The following is a 19,997-nucleotide window of genomic DNA, read 5'->3' as shown; positions in this document are numbered from 1 at the left end:
AAAAAAATCCAAATTGCCAGCAGAGTCTGGAAATCTGTGTGTTCACTAAGTGTCCTGGGGAACTGTTATCACAGGGTAAATTTGGGAAACAGTGCCTAGCTTGAACCAACTGCTTACTGCTTCGGGAACAGTCTCCCTTTGCCTGCAGAGGGAGCTTTGCGAATTCCTGGAACACACCTCCTCCCCCACCCCAGCCCACCCCAAGTTCCCAGGCTTCAGCTGCTCGAACGTCCTTCAGCACTTAGCTCAAGTGTCTACAGGGGGAAGCAGGCTCATTGTCCTTCCTTTCTATCATTTCTATACCCCGAACATCCATAAAGAACACTTCCTGTGGCCTTAGATCTGAAAGTGAAAGACAGCATTCTTAATAGTTACACAGGGACTATAGGCATAAACCAGGACTGTCTCCAGAAGACCAGGATGTAAGGCCATTCTACACTTAGCACACCATATATAACATATTTATTTACATATCTGTCCCACAAGCTTCTAAAGGGACTTTACCCCCCTTTGGGACTTCCTCCAGAAATTAGGACAGAACCACACACTCAGTAGGTGTTCAATATATATGTAAGAAAAAACAAACATTCTAGTTTACAAATAGTCCTTGTGAGTTTGGCTAAGGTGACATAAATTCCTAAAGCCTGACTCCCCCTGGGGAAATCTAGTTTCTGGGCCAGAAAATAACAGAACCCAGGACCAAGTGATGGCCCCAGTAAGATTAAGCCTCACCTATGCAGCAATTTACTTTTTTTTTTTTTTGAGATGGAGTCTCACTCTGTCACCCAGGCTGGAGCACGGTGGTGCAGTCTCAGCTGACTGCAACCTCCGCCTCCTGGGTTCAAGCGATTCTCCCTGCCTCAGCCTCCCAAGTAGCTGGGATTACAGGTTCCTGCCACCATGCCCAGCTAATTTTTTTATTTTTTAGTAGAGACGGGGTTTCATCATGTTGGCCAGGCTGGTCTTGAACTCCTGACCTCAGGTGATCCACCCACTTCCAAAGTTCTGGGATTATAGGTGTGAGCCACCGCACCCGGCCTGCAGCAACTTCTTGAGACTGGACTAGCAAATAAATGCCTAAGGTTTCTGAAAATCACTCCTCTGCAAGTTCTTGAACTTAGTGTAAGCAGTAATGAATATGAGTCCATTAGCTGGACCACTCCTCTCAGTCTGCTGCTCCTAGTCCTGGCTTCGTTCTTACCTGGTACAGGTTGCAAAGTCACAACTAGGAACACTCTAGCCCTGTCAGTGAAGACGTGCCATTGCCAACAGGAGGCTGTGGCCACCCTATCTGCTTTTCTGCCCTACCTCAGTCTAACCAGGCAAGGGCATGATGATGTCTAATCAAGACAACATTGCCAATAACAGCATCTGACCGCATTCAAATATGTTAACATGACAGTCTTAACCTTGCAAGATCAGATATTTACCTAATTATCCTTTACCTGTAGACTACAAACATCTATAGAATTACAATCTTCCCTCCACTACCCAAACACCGAAATCAGGACTGTGTACAATGCATTTATACAGAAAATTATAAAGAGAAGCTCCTTTCTAATTTTTTAAAAGAGAGGTGTCAGGGTATGTTCATAGCTAATACTCTTTCAGGCTGGGTGCGGTGGCTCATGCCTGCAATCCCACACTTTGGGAGGCCAAGGCAGGCAGATCACTTAAGGTCAGGAGTATGAGACCAGCCTGGCCAACATGGTGAAACTCCATCTCTACTAAGAATATAAAAATAGCCAGGTGTGGTGGCAGGCGCCTGTAATTCCAGCTACTCGGGAGGCTGAGGCAGGAGAATCACTTGAACCGGGGAGGCAGAGATTGCGGTGAGCCGAGATCATGCCACTGTACTTCAGCCTGGGCAACAGAGTGAGACTCCATCTCAAAAAAAAAAAAAAGAAAATACTCTTTCAGAGTTCCAGGAAGATTAACAAAGATCCAAACTGCATTTATTAAAGACTTGGCTGAGCCCCCCACCTGGGGTCTGCTGAAAGACCCTTGCCCAGACTTTGCTCTGGTGAACAACTCTTGTCATATCCACCCATTGATCTGTTTTCTTCTGTATCACAGAAGAAAAGTTTGCTTTCCCCAGGAAGTATACCATTCAACCTAGGTCACAGGTCAAACCTATAGCAGAACTGCCACACAGAAGAGTTACACTGTGTCAGCTTTCAGAGAAGCTGGGGGGACATATATATATATATATATATATATATAGATAGATAGATAGATAGATAGATAGATAGATAGATAGATATTTACACTACACTAGTGTCATTGAAGAGCCAGTTCTGTGAGATTCTCTCATTCCCATCAAATATTCATGACTATATGTTTATTGACTTTATAAGAAAGTTCACTTTAGTTCTCTACTCTGTGATGTAAACATATTAAAGAAGCAGTTGTTGAGTGCAAAAGATATAAACAGAATTAGGTCAGCCTGTTTATTCTAAGTGAAGAAAAATAACCCCAACATTATCCCTAATTCTTCCCACCAACCACCACAAATCCAAAGTTGAAAACAAGCAAACCAAAAACAAACACAAAGCTCCACTTAAAGCAGTGAACTATCTTTAAATTTAGAAATATCTTCTATTCCAATAGATATGTTTGGTCTTTCCTGCTAAACAACACTATTGTATTTACAGAGCCTGTTAAACAGGAATATCATCTTGGAGGATTACTCTTACTGATTTAGCACATTTTGTTTCCTTCTGTTGAACTCAGATTCCTTTCGAGCAGACTAGGCATTAAAAAAGAGGGCATTTGACCCAGCCGTCCCATTACTGGGTATATACCTAAAGGACTATAAATCATGCTGCTATAAAGACACATGCACACATATGTTTATTGCGGCACTATTCACAATAGCAAAGACTTGGAACCAACCCAAATGTCCAACAATGATAGACTGGATTAAGAAAATGTGGCACATATACACCATGGAATACTATGCAGCCATAAAAAATGATGAGTTCATATCCTTTGTAGGGACATGGATGAAATTGGAAATCATCATTCTCAGTAAACTATCGCAAGAACAAAAAACCAAACACCGCATATTCTCACTCATAGGTGGGAATTGAACAGTGAGATCACATGGACACAGGAAGGGGAACATCACACTCTGGGGACTGTTGTGGGGTGGGGGGATGGGTGAGGGATAGCACTGGGAGATATACCTAATGCTAGATGACGAGTTAGTGGGTGCAGCGCACCAGCATGGCACATGTATACATATGTAACTAACCTGCACAATGTGCACATGTACCCTAAAACTTAAAGTATAATAATAAAAGAAAAAAAAAGAAATCTGCAAAAAAAAATAATAAAAAATAAAAAAAATAAAGATTTACAAGAATGTAAAAAATAAATAAATAAATAAAATTAAAATAAAAAATAAAAAAGAGGGCTGTCCAAGTCCAACTCCAAGTCTGAGAGTTTTATACCTAGAGCTCAGACAAGAAAACCATCTGAAACTTCCTCTATGTTGTTTATAAATTTAAGATTCTAGTAAAGGACATTACTTCAAATTTGAGATATCTGCTTTACTACACTTACCTGTTTGTGGGGAGGGTGGAATTTAAGACTTGAATTAAAGAGGCTGAAGGAATTCAGGACATTTAAGTAGAATAATATTCCTGGCCAGGCGCAGTGGCTCACATCAGTAATCCCAACACTTTGGGAGGCCGAGGCAGGTGGATCACCTGAGGTCAGGAGTTCGAGACCAGCCTGGCCAACACGGCGAAACCCCGTCTCTACTAAAGATACAAAAATTAGCTGGGCATGTGGCACGCACCTGTCATCCTAGCTACTCAGACGGCTGACACAAGAGAATCGCTTGAACCCAGGAGGCAGAAGTTGCAGTGAGCCAGGATTGCATCACTGCACTCCAGCCTGGGGGACAGAACAAGTCTCCGCCTCAAAAAAAAAAAAAAAGAAGAATATTTCTTCTCCTACAGCCATTTTATTCCTTCTTCTTTTCCCCACCTCCAAAATAAAATAAATGTCCTAAACAATGCATCCTTATGGATTAGTAGAACATTAATCATATAGCCCAAATGTTTTGAGATCACCCTAATATAAAATATTCTACTCACTATCCTCATAAATATATTGTGAATCTTCAGGAGACCATACGTCTTCTTGTCACTAAGAAGTTACAAGGTAACAGATTGGGATGGTGGTTGGAAGGGGCAGTGAAAGGCAAAAGCAGATTCACTGCTAGGAGGATGTGGGGAGAAAAGGTCCACCCAGAAGAAAAGAATAAAATCACAAAAAGCTTTCAAAAATAACTGTGACACCAACTCCAACTTAATTCCTTAGTCTAGGGATTTGGGGGAATTTCATTACAGTAACTCATGTGTTTGTGACCAATAATCTTCCTGTATTTCTAAGAAATAAAAAGATGGGAAAATAAGCAGCCAACTCTGTGACATGATACACAGCATCCTGTAAACTCCAGCTTTTATCTCTTTGGAGTAAAATTTTGATTACTGTATTTTGGTCCTGAAACTCCAAGTTGGTAAAACACTGTTGCTAAGATGGCAATACCACCCAGTTAACTTACAGGGCTAATTTGATTTCAATCAAAATTCCGAGGGGATTTTTCTTAGAATTCGTCAATAATGTTTAAAAGTTTATCTGGAAAAATAAACTGGTGAACATATTTTAGATTTTGTAAAAAAAAAACAAAAAAAAACAACACCAACAAGAAGAGTGAAGAATAGACTAGTCCTACAAGACATTGAGACACATTTATGCAAAAATAGCCAGATCTTTGTTCTGTAACACAGAACAGAAAGCCCAGGAAAAGATCTTACAAGATACAGGAATTTATTATATACCAAAAAAGATGGCTTGAACCCGGGAGGCGGAGGTTGCAGTGAGCCAAGATCGTGCCACTGCACTCCAGCCTGGGCAACAGAGCGAGACTCTATCTCAAAAAAAAAGAACAAACAACAAAAATATAAAGAACATGTTACAATATGTAAGGAGAAGGAAGATTTATGATTGGAGCATAGTTGGCTGGCAATGGGAAAAAAGATCAAGTTAAACCCTTACCTCAGAGCATATACCAGGATAAATTCCAGATGGATTAGATGACTAAATAATAAAAATCGAACCATTGGGAGAAAACAGTCTACAAGCAACAGAATCTATCAGAGCTCTGTAGGAAGGATGAGGATCCAACTTACAAGTAATTAATGAAATCAGACACAAAATAAAGATAGATTTGGTTACATTTAAAAAAATGAAGCTTCTGACTGTGTGCCTTCAAGTTAAAAGGCAAACAACAGGCCATGGAAAAACAAAGGCTGTTAGTATTGTTATTACCTAAGGAACTCGTGAAAACAAGTAAGATCATTTAAGCCCCAAAAGAAAAGTGAACAATTATAACTGCTTACTATGTGTTAGACACTACACTTTACATGAATCGTCTCATTTAATCTCCCCCACTTACTCCTACAATCTCAGGAGGAAAGTATTGTTACGGCCTTTTTGTTGTTGTTAACAAGTTAACTTGGCTGCATTTCACCCTCTACAGCAGAGGCTTAGCAAGGAAGGGTTTCAGAAGGTCCTGGCCTCCCTGAAATTGTATGCAAAAAGTATGTGTGTGTGCATATTTGCATCAGTCTCTCCCTCTCCTCTTCCCCACATACAGTCAAGCCCCACTCCAGGAATAATGTTTTAGGTTGACTAAAGATTGATTTTCGAATCTGAAAGGGAACTAATATAAAATTCTTCAGTATAAGGAAGTACTGGCCAAAAAAGCCCTTATACGGAAAATCCAGACCTGCCAGAAGTTAGTGTAGAAAACAGCCAGCTTTGAAGACACCCGGAGGGTGGAAAAGGGCGGAGAGCAGGCCTAGCAGTGCTCACCACTCCAGGCAGGGTGTGCCCTTCCCCAAATGCCCAGTGGGAGCCCATGTTACTGGGCAGCCTGTGGGTTTCATCTAAGTGACTGTGTGGTGACCAAAGTGTGAAATGCTCATTTCAAGAAGGCATTTGCCAGTTGAGCCAAAGTACCATAAAAAAAGAGCATTTCAGCCAGGCATAGTGGCATCTTCCTATAATCCCAGCACTTTTGGAGGCTGAGGCAGGAGGATAACTTGAGCCCAGGACTTTGAGACCAGCCTGAGCAACATAGCAAAACCCCATCTCTATAAAAAAATTAAAAAGTAGCCAGGCGTGGTGGTGTTCGCCTGTAGTCCCAGCTAATCTTGAGCCCAGGAGGATCGCTTGAGCCCAGAAGGTCAAGGCTGAAGTAAGCCGTGATTGTGGCATTGCATTCCAGATTGGGTGACAGAGCGAGACCTTGTCTAAAAAGAAAAGAAAAAAAAAAAAAAAACCCAAGGACCCCTACTGATACAAATGAGAATCCTCAAAGGCACAAAAAATTGGGCCAGAGCATAAAAGGCATACTTTATGTGGGAGGTGCAAAAGGATTAATTTTAACATCTCTTTCTTTGGGATGCTCTTTCGCTATACTTCCTTTTAGGGTGGTTTCTTCCAAGAAACTATGTTGATGAGGGAAATGACACCCAGGAGCCTCTCCCCATCTGGGAAAAAGTAGCAAGGCTCAGCAAAGAAAGGAGGCATCAAACAGGTTGCCAAGGCCTGATTTTGTGAAGCAGGAAGCCTAAAAACTGGGGAAGCACTCTTTAAGAAAAATGCTAAAGGACCCCATGAACACAGTGCTAGGGCCACACTAGTATGAAGGGGCCCATGCAAGGGAGGGGACTGAAGCTTAGGCTTCCTCAGCTTCATAGTAAATTCAGCTCTGCCCAGAGAACAAAAGAGATTCCTGCCTGTGGCTCAGGAGTGGTTCAGCTGGCCTCAACTCAGTAAGTGAAATGTCCATTTATGGAGCGAGGGGGTCACACTGACCTCTGTCTTCTTAGAGGAAACAAAAATATTTAACTGTTGGAAACTGGATAAAACTGTCAAAAGATATCTCCTACACAGATTGTGAAACATAATTCATGGCTCTGTTCCTTCTGTACCCATTGTAAACACACACATACACACACACACACACACACACAATTTTAATTATTAAGATAAAAAAGCAAAAGGCCAGGTGTGGTGGCTCATGATTGTAATCCCAACACTTTGGGAGACGAAGGCAGGAGGATCGCTTGAGCCCAGGAGTTTGAGACCAGCCTGGACCACACAGTGAGAGCCCATCTCTACACACATGCACACACACAAAGATAAAAAAGAAAAACTATAATGCTTCTTTAACATTGTGTGTCTATGCACCTCTACTCTTTGAATTTCCACAAGATCACCATGGTAGAGCCTAATTCCCTCACCCCACATCCTGTATCCATCTGTATCCATCATTTCCTTATTTCTTCTAGCAAAAGAACCCTCTGAATTTTTGCTGAGCACATGGTCACACAGCAAGAGGCCACGTTTCCTTCTCTACAACTAGGTGTGGCCTGTGACTCAGTTCTCACCCATGGGATGTGAGCACAAGGGGTAAGTGCAAATTTGGGGCAGTGTCTTTTTTTTCTCTTTTAGAGACAGAGTTTTGCTCTATTGTCCAGGCTGAAATGCAGTAGTGTAATCATATCTCACTATAGCCTCGAGCTCCTGGGCTCTAGCAATCCTCCCACCTCAGCCTCTTGAGTAGCTGGAAATCCAGGTGCACACCACCATGTCCAGCTAATGTTTTTTGTTTTGTTTTGTTTTGTTTGTAGAAACAGGGTCTTGCTGTGTTGCCCAGGCTGGTCTCAAATTCCTGGACTCAAGCAATTCTCACCCCTTGGCCTACAGAAGCAGTGGGATTATAGACATGAGCTATTGTGCCTGGCCCCTGGGCCAATGTCTTTAAAAAGAAAACTGCATGTCCAGCCTCTCCCGGCCGAAAAGTTGTGAACTGCGTGTCACAACTTCTGCTGTGTGAGGACCACACTCTGGACAGGATAGAGCCACAGAACAGACAGAACCCGCACCAGGCTGACTGGGGAGCAGAGCAGCCTGCGGCCCTAGACTAATTGCTGCCTGAGGACTGTTCCATGAGAGAGAAAAGTCTATCTTCTCTTTTTTTTTTTTTTTTGAGATGGAGTCTCACTCTGTTGCCCAGGCTGAAGTGCAGTGGCGTGATCTCGGCTCACTGCAACCTCTGCCTCCCGGGTTCAAGCAATTCTCCTGTCTCAGCCTCCAGAGTGGCTGGGATTACAGGCTCGTGCCACCACACCCAGCTGATTTTTGTATTTTTAGTAGACATGGGGTTTCACCATGTTGGCCAGGCTGGTATCGAACTCCTGACCTCAGGTGGTCCGCCTGCCTCAGCCTCCCAAAGTGCTGGAATTACAGGCGTGAGCCACCGTGCCCAGCCTAAAAGTCTATCTTCTTTATCAGACTGTGTCACTGGGCCCCTTTGTAACAGCAGCCTCATCTCCACCCTCACATTACAACCTCCTCTGGGGGATTTCAGCATCTAAGCTTCCTTAGATGAAGGTATGGGAAGAACCTGCCTTAAATTTCGTTCTACATTCTTCTGAACAGGATTACATGAAAGTTCCTTCAAAGATGGAAGCATTTTTAAAAATGATAAATCTACACAGGTTGAGCATCCCTAATCCAACAATCTAAAATCCAAAACGTTTTGCTTGTCAACATGACACCACAGTGGAAAATTCCACACCTAATTTCATGTGGCCAGTCACAGTCAAAACACAGTCAAAACTTTGTTTCATGCACAAAATTATTACAACTGCTGTTTAAAATTACCTTCAGGCTATGTGTAGAAGGTGTATATGAAACATAATGAATCTCATGTTTAGACTTGGGTCCCATCCCCAAGCTATCTCATTATGTATATGCAAATATTCCAAAATCTAAAATCTGAAACACTTCTGGTCCTAAGCATTTTGGATAAGGAACACTCTACCTGTATCTCAATGATGTCTTTTCTCAGGGCAGAAAATTCCCGAACCAAAAGACTCAAGCCTGCCCCGTGGATGATGTCCTAATTATCCTAAAAACAGGACTGAGACTACCCTTCCTTCTGCCGTAATGACTTGAGCTGTGATACTGACTTTCTAGAAATTAGGCAGTTGCATTTTTAAAGATGACTGATGTGGACAAAAACGTTGAAGAAGGAGGGAGTCAATATTTAGATTTCACAAAGGCCAAGTAGAATGGATTTACATATTGATGAAGGTTATTATTTTCTTTGGGGAGATTTCCTTGAAATAATATGATTGTATAACTCCAATATTTGCCCAATTCTAAGGATAAATAATAACAATAATAAATAATAACTGACCCAAATCCTATAAGTGAATTAATCATTGTTCTTTGGCTTCAACACTAACTGGTGCTAGTGACGATTTCTAGCACACACACAAAATATTTTTAGAAATTGTTTTCTTATGGGCTCAATTAGTCAAGTTATTTTGTTGTATTATTTTATAGAACTATGACAAGCAAGAGCGAGTTTATCCTTACCGGTCTTCCCTGTACCTCATCATGTATGATATAGGAATATCTTATGTGTTTTCTGTTTCCTTTGGCCAAGGCATAGACACTGAGCAGAATATATTTGTTTTACATTATTTTCTGAACAAATGATAAATCACTGCTACAGACTGACTGTTTATATCCCCCCAAAATTCATAGGTTAAAACCTAAACTCCAATGTGAGAATATTAAGAAGTGGGGCCTTTGGGAGGTGATTAGGTCATGAGGGTTCTTCCTGGGGTCAGCGCCCTTATAAAAGAGACCCCAGACAGCTCCCTCTCCCTTCTTCTGCCAAATGAGGACACAGGGAGAAGACATCCAGGAGGTCAGCCTTCACCAGATGTGGAATCTGCTGGTCCCTTAATCATGGGGACCTCCATCCTCCAGAACTTCCAGAAATAAATGACTGGTTTATAAACCACCCAGGCAATTATATCCTTATAGTAGCCTTAACAGACTAAGATAATCACTGACTCCTAACCTAAGCATCCATCTCAGATCTCATAGAACCACAGAAATTTTTAGCTGGAAAGGACCTTTGCCAAAGATCACTGGGTCGAATATCATTCTTTTTGGAAGAAGGTTTACTCAGGCACCAAAGTGCACAACTAGGATTCATAACCCTTGCAAGGAAGGTATGAAGGTATGAATTCTGGAGTTTCCCCCCAGCCCCAAAAGATATGCCCACTTGGTATGTATAATAGAGATATGACTTCTCCCCAAAATTCACCTCATTTTAAAAGGCACTGTAAATTGTTTTATAAAGCAAATACATACAAATAGTCTTGTACTTTGTTTTAAAAGTTTTTGGTTTTCATTTTTTTTTTTTTTTTTTTGAGACGGAGTCTCACCGTGTCACCCAGGCTGGAGTGCAGTGGTGCGATCTTCGCTCACTGCAACCTCTGCCTCTGGGGTTCAAGCGATTCTCCTGCTTCAGCCTCCCGAGTAGCTGGGATTACATGCATGTGCCACCATGCCCAGCTAATTTTTGTATTTTTAGTAGAGAGGGGGTTTCACCATGTTGGACAGGCTGGTCTCGAACTCCTGACCTCGTGATCCGCCCGCCTCGGCCTCCCAAAGTGCTGGGATTACAGGCGTGAGCCACCGTGGCTGGCCTTTAAAAATATTTTTATAGCCTAGGCAACATAGTGAGACCCCATCCCTTCAAAAACAAAAACAAAAAAAAATTAGCCTGGTGTGGCAATGCACACCTGTAGTCCTAGCTACTTGGGAGGCCAAGATGGGAGGATCATTTGAGCCCAGGAATTCAAGGTTGCAGTGAGCTGTGATGCTACCACTGCACTTCAGCCTGGGCTATAGAGTGAGACTCTGTCTCAAAACAATAATAAAAAATGTATTTTTAAATACCTTTAGTGTTTAAGGCAAAATAATACATATGTTCATTCATTCATTCATTCATTCATTCATTCCACAAATTTGACAAATGACCAAGCTTTGCCAGCCTCTGCTGAACACTGTGTTGAACAAAAGAGACCCAGTTCCTGCCCTCATAGAACTTGCATATTAGTGAGCTTAGTAAGCCAACAAATAAATATGTAATATATAAATTGTCATGTATGAAATATAAGAACTGCAGGGGGCTCTGAGAATGGCTGGTGGACGGCATCGGTGGAGATGTCAAGGGAGGTTGCTCTGAAGGAGTGACAGACTGAAGCCTCAGGGATAGGCAGAAGCTGCCTGGGTGAAGTGTAGGGTAACAGCGTTCCTTCATCAAGACACTAAGGACAGAAGCAGCCTCCAGTTTTGAGTAAGCGTGGTTGAAGAGCAGCTGCTGGAGGGAGGAGAGGGGCTTAGGCTGGTGAAGTGGGAGAGGCACAAGGCATGACAGCCTAGAAGACCATGTTAAGCATCCTTGTCTCTGAAAAAGTGAATTTTTGACTACATAGGCAGTTCAAAGAAGAAAGAAAAACCTGCCCATAGTATTGTCTTTCATAAATAGCCACTGTTAAAATGTTGGTGAGCTAGATATACCCTTTTTTCCCTCTTTTTCAAAGTACTTTTTACATCTGGAATTGAAATATTTATGTTTTTCTATTAATATTTATAATCTGTCTTTCCCTACTAGACATAAGCTCCATGAACACAGAGTACCTTACCTATCTTGTTTCTTCTGCTCAATATTTGATGACTGAATAAAGATTGCAAATCTCTCTCTTACATATACACAAGCATGTACTTATTTGGACAAATGGAACAACAGATAGATAGCTAGATAGATAGCTAGATAGATAGATAGCTAGATAGATAGCTAGCTAGATAGATAGATACTTTTACACAAATAGTGAATAAGTACTTTTGGCAAAAGACAATATGTATGTTTAAATATTTATTGATTTTATTAATATTTACCAGTGTAAATATTAATGTTTATATTATATTAGTATTTATTTAATATAAATATTAATATTTAAATATAAAAATTTATATTATATTAATATTTTAATTTATTTGATATGCATATTAATATTTATGTCAATATTTAAAATAATGAATTTTTTTTTGAGACGGAGTTTTACTCTTTCATTCAGGCTAGAGTGCAGTGGCATGATCTCGGCTCGCCACAACTCCACTTTCCAATTTCAAGCAATTCTCCTGCCTCAGCTTCCTGAGTAGCTAGAATTACGGGTGCCCGCCACCACGCCAGGCTAATTTTTGTATAATTAATAGAGATGGGGTTTCACCATGTTGGTCAGGCTGGTCTCAAACTCCTGACCTTGTGATCCACCTGCCTCGGCCTCCCAAAGTGCTAGGATTACAGGCGTGAGCCACCGCGCCGGGCCTAGTGTTTATTAAGTATACGTTTTGTCTTTTGCTAGAGGTGAGTACTTATTCAGGTTAAGTATTAATACAACAATAAACCTTAATTATTAAACCTTAATATTATAAACCTTAATACAAACCTTAATCAATAGAGGTGAGTACTTTATGCATGTTTAAATATTTGTTTTATTAGTGTTTATTTATATTAATACATAAAATTTATTGATATTTAATGTTAACAAGTATCAATTTATTGTTTATATTAATGAATAGTAATATTTAAATCAACACGTTAATATATATGAATATTTATTTACATTTATTAACATTTAACAAATTAATATTTATTGATTTAATTATACATATTATCTTTTGCTAGAGGTGAGTATTTATTCATTATGCCGCTTGTTTTCTTCATAAGGTGCTGCTCCCCATGGATGAAGAGGAAACCAGGATGTGCAGCCAAGACCCGTCCTGACCCCTCATTGGGATCTGCCTCTCTGCAGAACCCACATGTGCCTCCTTCTCTTCACTGCATAACATGCCTTTGTGTGTCTGTACAGAATTTGCCTGACTTGCTCCCCATGGAGGGATATTTAACGGGTTTGCTGTTCCTCATTATAAATGAAACCGTGATGAGCAATCCCATGCATATGCATCTTTTCACACACTTAAATTTCTTTTCACACACTTATCTTTTCTTAGAGTAAAATTCTAGAAGTGAGATTGTAGTGTCAAAACAAACACATTTTATATTTTGATACACATAGCCAAACTGCCCTCTGGAAAGGCTGTACTCATTCACATTTGTAAACACAGTATATGAGACAGCCTTTCCCCTAAACCTTAATCAATACTGAGTTCGGTCAATCTTTTAAAACTGTCAAATGGGTGAAATGATAAGCCACCACCAAGGACTGCTGGTCTTATTTGAACACGTTTATTTCTGAAGTTTGAATGTGTTTTAATGGATTTATTGAAGCATTGCCTGCTTGCCTGCCTTCCTTCCTTCCTCTCTCTCTCTCTCTCTCTCTCTCTCTTTTTCTTTCTTTCATATATGGAGTGTTTAAGTCTTTTGCCTTAACAGCAGTACTGAATGTGTGGTCCCTGGGCCAGCAACATCAGCATCACCTGGGAACACCTTAGAAGTGCAAATTATACAGCCAGGCATGGTGGCGTGTGATTGTAGTCCTCACTACTTGGGAGGGAGGCTGAGTTGGGAGGATCACTTGAGCCCAGGAGTTGGAGGCTGCAGTGAGCTATGATTGCACCACTGTACTACAGCCCATGCAACAGAGCAAGGCCCTGTCTCAAACATAAATAAAGCAAATAAATAAAGTAAAATAGAAATGCAAATTCTTGAGCTCCACCTCTACTGCATGAGAAACTTGGGGTGGGCCTGACCATCTGTGTTATAAGAAGGCCTCCAGGTGACACCCATGCGCACTTATGTGCCTTAACTCATTGTTTTCTTTCTCAGTCATGTTGTACACCCTCACTCTCTTACACAGAAACCTGTCTCCAACATCCAAACTGGAGACAAAAAGCTTTTTGATCAGCAGCAATTTCAATTATTTCCTCCTCCAAATGGTACTTATGGACTGAACATCGTTTGCTATTCCCTTTTGTCCACAATATCCTGAAACCCCTTAACAAACCTCAGGAGCGTATGGTGTCTCGAGCGCCAAACTCACAGCCAAATCACAGCTGGAAGAGGGATTTTCTGTCCTTGTCTGCCTTACATCACCCCCCATCTTCAATTCACAATCCATATTTTCCCTGAAACTCTAGGGGCATGTGGTTTGGAGATCCTGGCTCCATCCCCAACTCCAACTCCAGGGTTGGGCAAGTGACTCAGGCCTGACTAAAGAGCATCTCCAACACTTCTCTCCCCGTCTCTTTCCCAATACAGCACTTGGTTTAGCAAAGGGCACAAGACCCAAGCCCATCTAATTCATGTCTCCTGACAACCTTGCCAAACTTTTTCAATGAGCCAGCAAGGTGGGCATTTCCATCAGTCCCTGGCCTCTTGGTTCAATAATCCCTTTTATTTAAGATGCTGTGTAAGCCTCTCGCTGACAACTGGTAGAGGCATTCCCTGGGCTGGTGGGTGCCAGGAATGGATATGTGAGATCGTGAGGCAACATTCCTCAGCCTGGTTCCGCGGCTCCTGGCCCATCTGTTTGGCAAAAAGCTGCTGAGAGATTCCCAGAATTCACTCTCCCTCCACAACACCATCAAGGGCCGCATTTAAAGAGTTCCCCCGACTCTCAGGGATACCGAAGAGACTCCTGGCGCTGGAGTCCTTTTTTTCTCCCTTAAGAAAGAAGCTGGCTTTTTTTTCCCCCCAAATAAGATATTCAGAATCATTTTATCTCCAGCCCGCCACACTTTAATTAAAGTCAGTCATTCAAAGACATCTATCGTGCGGCTCTCAGCAAGAGCAGGGCACTCCAAGGGCACTGCTCCTCTCTGAGCGTGACATACAAAGGAGGCGCGGCGCAGACCGCAGCCTGCGAGGAACTGATTCTTTCACAGATCTCAAGCCTCTGGTGATGAAAGTGGAAGAGAGCTCAACTAGGACCAAAAAAGGCGAGAACATGATTCAGCTCCCAAGAGGGTTTCCGAATGTGCGAAGGGGGAGAGCGCGGCGGAGGGGGCAGGGGAGGGAAAACCCGAGGGTGCCGCCGGGACGGAAATCCACGCTCCCCTCGAGATTGTTCAGAAGGCAGGAAATCTACAGCCCCTAGGGAGAGGTCTGCATACTGCTAAACAATGCGGCATCAAAACCCCTCTCTGCTTCGTAAAGGGCGTGAGACTTGACACTGTCAGCTATAGTGACACCACAAGGCCTGAAGAGGGCTCTTAGCTCAGCAGGGAAGCCGCGGGCTCCTGACATCTGTGGCCAAACCTGCGCTGCTCTGTGAGGAAGGATGGGGGAGAGCCAGAGCCGGCAGCGCAGGGAGCACGCATGTTCACATACACACGCCACACCACACAGGGTCTCATGTATACACACACACCACACGCATGCACAGTCACACATGCACCTCCCCCAGCAGTCTCACACCCACATCATACACCCCCACCCATACCCACTCTCTCTCACACACACACACCATACACACAGTCACACACACCACACAATCACACACACACCACACACCCTCACCCATACCCAGTCTCACACACACACCACATAGTCACACACACCACACCCCTAACCCATACAGCCTCACATACATACACACACCACACACAGTCATATACACACCACACCCCCAACCCATACACAGTCTCGCATACACATACACACACCACACACCTTCACCCATACCCAGTCTCACACACACACCACACACACAATCACACACACCACACACCCTCACCCATACCCAGTCTCTCTCTCACACACACACACCCCACGTAGTCACACACACCACATTCCTGACCCATACAGCCTCACATACATATACATACACCACACACAGTCATACACACACCACACTCCCACCCCCAACCCATACACAGTCTCACATATACATACACACACCACACACACACACCACATACCCTCACCCATACCCAGTCTCACACACACACACCACACACAGTCACATACACACCACACCCCCCCACCTCATACAGTCTCATATACATACACACACCACACATATAATCACACACCACACACCCCCACCCATGCAGTATCACATACACCACACACCTAGTTACACACATACCACACACACCCCCCACCATACACAGTCTTACATACACATATACACACTACACATGTAGTCACACACACCACACCCCCAACCCATACACAGTCTCATACACATACACACACCACACAATCACACACACCACACACACCCTCCCATACACAGTCTCATACACACACACACCACACACCTAGTCACACATATACCACACACACCCCCACCCATACAGTCTCTCACACACACACACACCACACAGTCACACAAACCTCCCCACAACAGTCTCACACACACACCATACACCTCCACCCCCACAGCCTCATATCCACGCACCACGCAGTCTCACACACACCACACATATCACACACTCCCATCCCCACAGTCTCATGTACACATATACACCCCACACACATAGTCACACACACCACACACAGTCACACACACACCTCCCCCGACAGTCTTACATACACAGTCTCACACACACCACACACCCCCACCCACACATTGAGTCTCTGGTACACATATAACCACACACACCACACCTACCCCCAACTCTCACATAAGCCCACAGTCACACACATACCTCCCACACACAGTTTCACATATATATATGGTGACACACACACATTGCACATATACCCCTCAAAGTCTCTCTCTGTCTGACACACACACACACACACTCCTCAAGCACTTCAGTCCTAAGACACAGCTTCTTGCTCAGCCCCTGGACCATTCATACAGGGGTATGGAATCGATCAAACAAGACACACAATTATCAAGGATGGAGGAGGAAAAAATTGAACTTTTGACACTCCCGTTCCTTCTGCTGTGCAGCTTCACCAGCCGGAAGCCGCAGTAGCCACCAGAGGGCACTAGAACGTTCCATCACACCGTCCATCAACACATTTGTGTGTGAAGAGAATTTCTTCAACATTTGTACTTCTATAAATACAAAAAGTCACAATGAGTCCCCTCTGCATCCAATGCAGGGTGTTTATACTGCAGTTTAACCAGCAGATACAAATGAACAAGCACTGAACGACTGCAGAAGGGAGACTCCCAACTTCTCAGAAGCTACAGAAAGTTCTCTGTGAATCACAGGATTTGAAGACACACCCCTGAGAGGCAGGATCCCGACCAGCAGAAGGAATGGGGTGTCAAAAAGTCAATTTTGTCCTCCTTTATTTTCTTTCCCTTCCTCCCTCCCTTCCCTTCCCCTACCTTCCTTCCTTCCTTCCTTCCTTCCTTCCTTCCTTCCTTCCTTCCTTCCTTCAAGACAGCGTCTCACTCTGTCACCCAGGCTGGAGTGCAGTGGCACAATCTCATCTCACTGCAGCCTCGAGTTCCTGGGCTCAAGAGATCCTCCCGCCTCCGCCTCCCAAGTAGCTGGGACCACAGGCGCCGACAACACATCTGGCTAATTTTTAAAAAAATTATTTGTACAGATAGAGTCTTGCTATGTTGCCCAGACTGGTCCCAAACTCCTGGGCTCAAATGATCCTCCCACCTCAGACTCCCAAAGTGTTGGGATTACAGACGTGAGCCACTGTGCCCGGCCCCTAATCTATTTTCTTTTATCCTACGGGTACTATAAATTAGTATCTGAATGGCCCTCTCATTTTATTCCACCCAGCAAAGGAGTTGATTGAAGAAACTCTTGCTCCCCACCAGGCCAACCCCAAGCCAAAAACTTAGTGGATGGTGGCTGGCATCCCCTGGTGGGAGGATAGAGCCCTCCACCTGGCAAGAAGCAGGAAGGAGATGGAAAACAGGTAAAAGAAGCCCACTCTAGACTCTACTCTCTCTGTCTCTCTTCTTCCCCATTATTGCCAGCTATTCCTGAAATTTGCACACATCTCTTGGTTCTAGTCTTGTCCTCAAGAGAACCTGCCAATCTCTGCTTTGGGTATCAACTGTAAAGGGCCCAGGTTATAAGGACTTGACCTGTGGTCCCAAGTGCCATTACTATGGCCCACGGGGCACTTATTAGGAATCATGGCTTCACACACATCTGCCCAGAAGTGCCACAGCCTGAATATCATCAAGAGGTTCAAGGGCCTTCTGAGGCCAATGGATACACAGGTGTGAAAAGGCAGAGGAAACGTCAGTCATCTTCCTACCTTCGTATCTTGCCCAAGCCTTCCTAGTTTTGTTTTCTCAAACCCCTATTTAAGAACAATTCTGATGTAGCCATAGAAACATAACATTTTGCCGTTGTTAGGAAAGCAAGACTCATAGACAAAAATACTTCAGCACAGAAACCCAGGAAATTTACACAGAGGTCTTCTGTCGGCTCTGTGTAAATGCAATACAGGATTTCTCTATAGCTATTTAGCTACAGAATGGGCTGGGCGATGTTTTCTCAAACATTTACTTCCCTGAAACTATCTTATCAGTAGGAAATAGCCATAAAAACTCCTTTTCTAGTAGATAAACAGAAGCCTCCACTGGTTAATGAGTTGCCTGGGTGGCAGAAACACTCTGGAATTGACTGGTAATTTGTGTCCTCTGCTTCAGCCAGGTTCATCAGGACTGAAACCTAGCTCTGTGGCCTTAGTTTCTCAACTTTTCCAGGCCTCAGTTTCTTCATCTGTAAAATGCAGATAATAATGTCTATTTCATGGGATCCATGAAAGGATTAAATGGGATAATGCACAGATTTCAGGGTCTCTGACAGTCCTCATTTCACATATTGTGTATATGTGTATTTTCACAGGGAAAGATCCCTAAAAGTTCGATCATATTATCAAGGGATCTCTGAACAGTTTTCAGAACTATTGCTGTACAGCAAAGCATCTTTGTAAGGTTTCTGGGAGCTCCCATCTTTACCAGTGACATTCTATGCCGTCAGGTTTTTATGAGAACATGCAGAGTATAAGACAGATAAACAGGATGGGTTTTCTCAGAAATGGAACTACTCTACCTCCAAAAATAGACAGGACTCTAAAGTTTCTGTGTAACATTCCCAAATTTAAGGAGGCTAAATATAATGTATTTTGCCTAGAAGTGTCATTAATATCATATGTAGCAGACATATAAGATTGATAAAGATAAAACTGTACTATTGTACAATTGTACAAACAATGAAAAAATTACATCCAAAGTATCTGTAACAGTAAGTGTTCTGGGAATGAAGCAATGTCAAAGTAAGGGATCCTTGTGGATAGTCACTCATCAAGGGTACCAAGTCTCCACAAATAAAAGTAAAGGAGCTGGAAGATAAAGGAAGAGCAGAGAACAGTGGTTCATCATTTGCCATTCCTTATATTAAATCTGTTTGTGCTTTATGTCCTATTATTACAAAAAATAAACTCTAAAGACTGTCCCTGAAAAATGTATGCCTGACAAAGCTTACTGATGACCGAGAGCATTTGAAGGTGCCACTATTTCAGCAGAGGAAGCGAAAATGCTTAAAATGCAACCTTAAGATGGACTGAAAATTGGCTAGGCTGGTAAAAAAAAAATCTATGAGAAAAGCTCAGTTATAGATGTCCTATTTTTTTTCAGCTCCACACATCCCCCTCCATTCACAAGGTCATTTCCTCTTGTTTGACTTTTCGGCATATGTCCCGTCCGCAGTATTATAAACAAATATTCAGATTTCATGCATTTAGAAATGCTTTCTTCTGCTCATGTAAATTCCCACATACATAATAATGTTCACAGTGCCTGAACATAAGAAGGCAGTCAATTAATACTTGTTGAATGAAAGAGAGTGAAAAGAAAAAATTAACATTTGTTCAATGAATGGGAATAAAAAGACAAAAACCATCAAGGGAAAGCTGAAAACCAAATATCTTCCTGAATAATAAAGGGGCAGTGTTAGCCTTGTGGATATTCATGTGTGGACAGCAATCTCCTTCTTTAGAATCAGAAAAAAACAACTTGTCACTCAAGCAAAGAGAAGAGATCCAGCACTTATCTGACTTCTGGATGAGACTCAAGGCTTTCTTGGGAGAAAAAGGCAAGAAAAAGGTTATTTTCCATAAGATAATTAGCACACAGGTT

At 42.7% G+C, this 19,997-nt stretch overlaps 1 protein-coding gene across 41 annotated transcripts in view, besides 1 other annotated feature; it reads right to left on the bottom strand.

The window, feature by feature from the left end:
- TACC1 (transforming acidic coiled-coil containing protein 1) overlaps positions 1–19,997 on the bottom strand; it is a 124,447-nt gene that overhangs the window by 67,699 nt on the left and 36,751 nt on the right. The window lies entirely within an intron of this gene.
- Positions 14,759–14,808: an enhancer, noted in NCBI's record as "active region_27257". NCBI's record gives its function as "activates an Ori minimal core promoter by ATAC-STARR-seq in GM12878 lymphoblastoid cells {active_cell/tissue: GM12878}" and the evidence as "EXISTENCE:reporter gene assay evidence [ECO:0000049][PMID:35858748]".

The sequence above is a fragment of the Homo sapiens genome, chromosome 8 (genome assembly GCF_000001405.40).
Source record: "Homo sapiens chromosome 8, GRCh38.p14 Primary Assembly".
Classification (NCBI taxonomy): Eukaryota; Metazoa; Chordata; class Mammalia; order Primates; family Hominidae; genus Homo; species Homo sapiens.
This window is presented reverse-complemented; position numbering and strand designations above follow the sequence as displayed.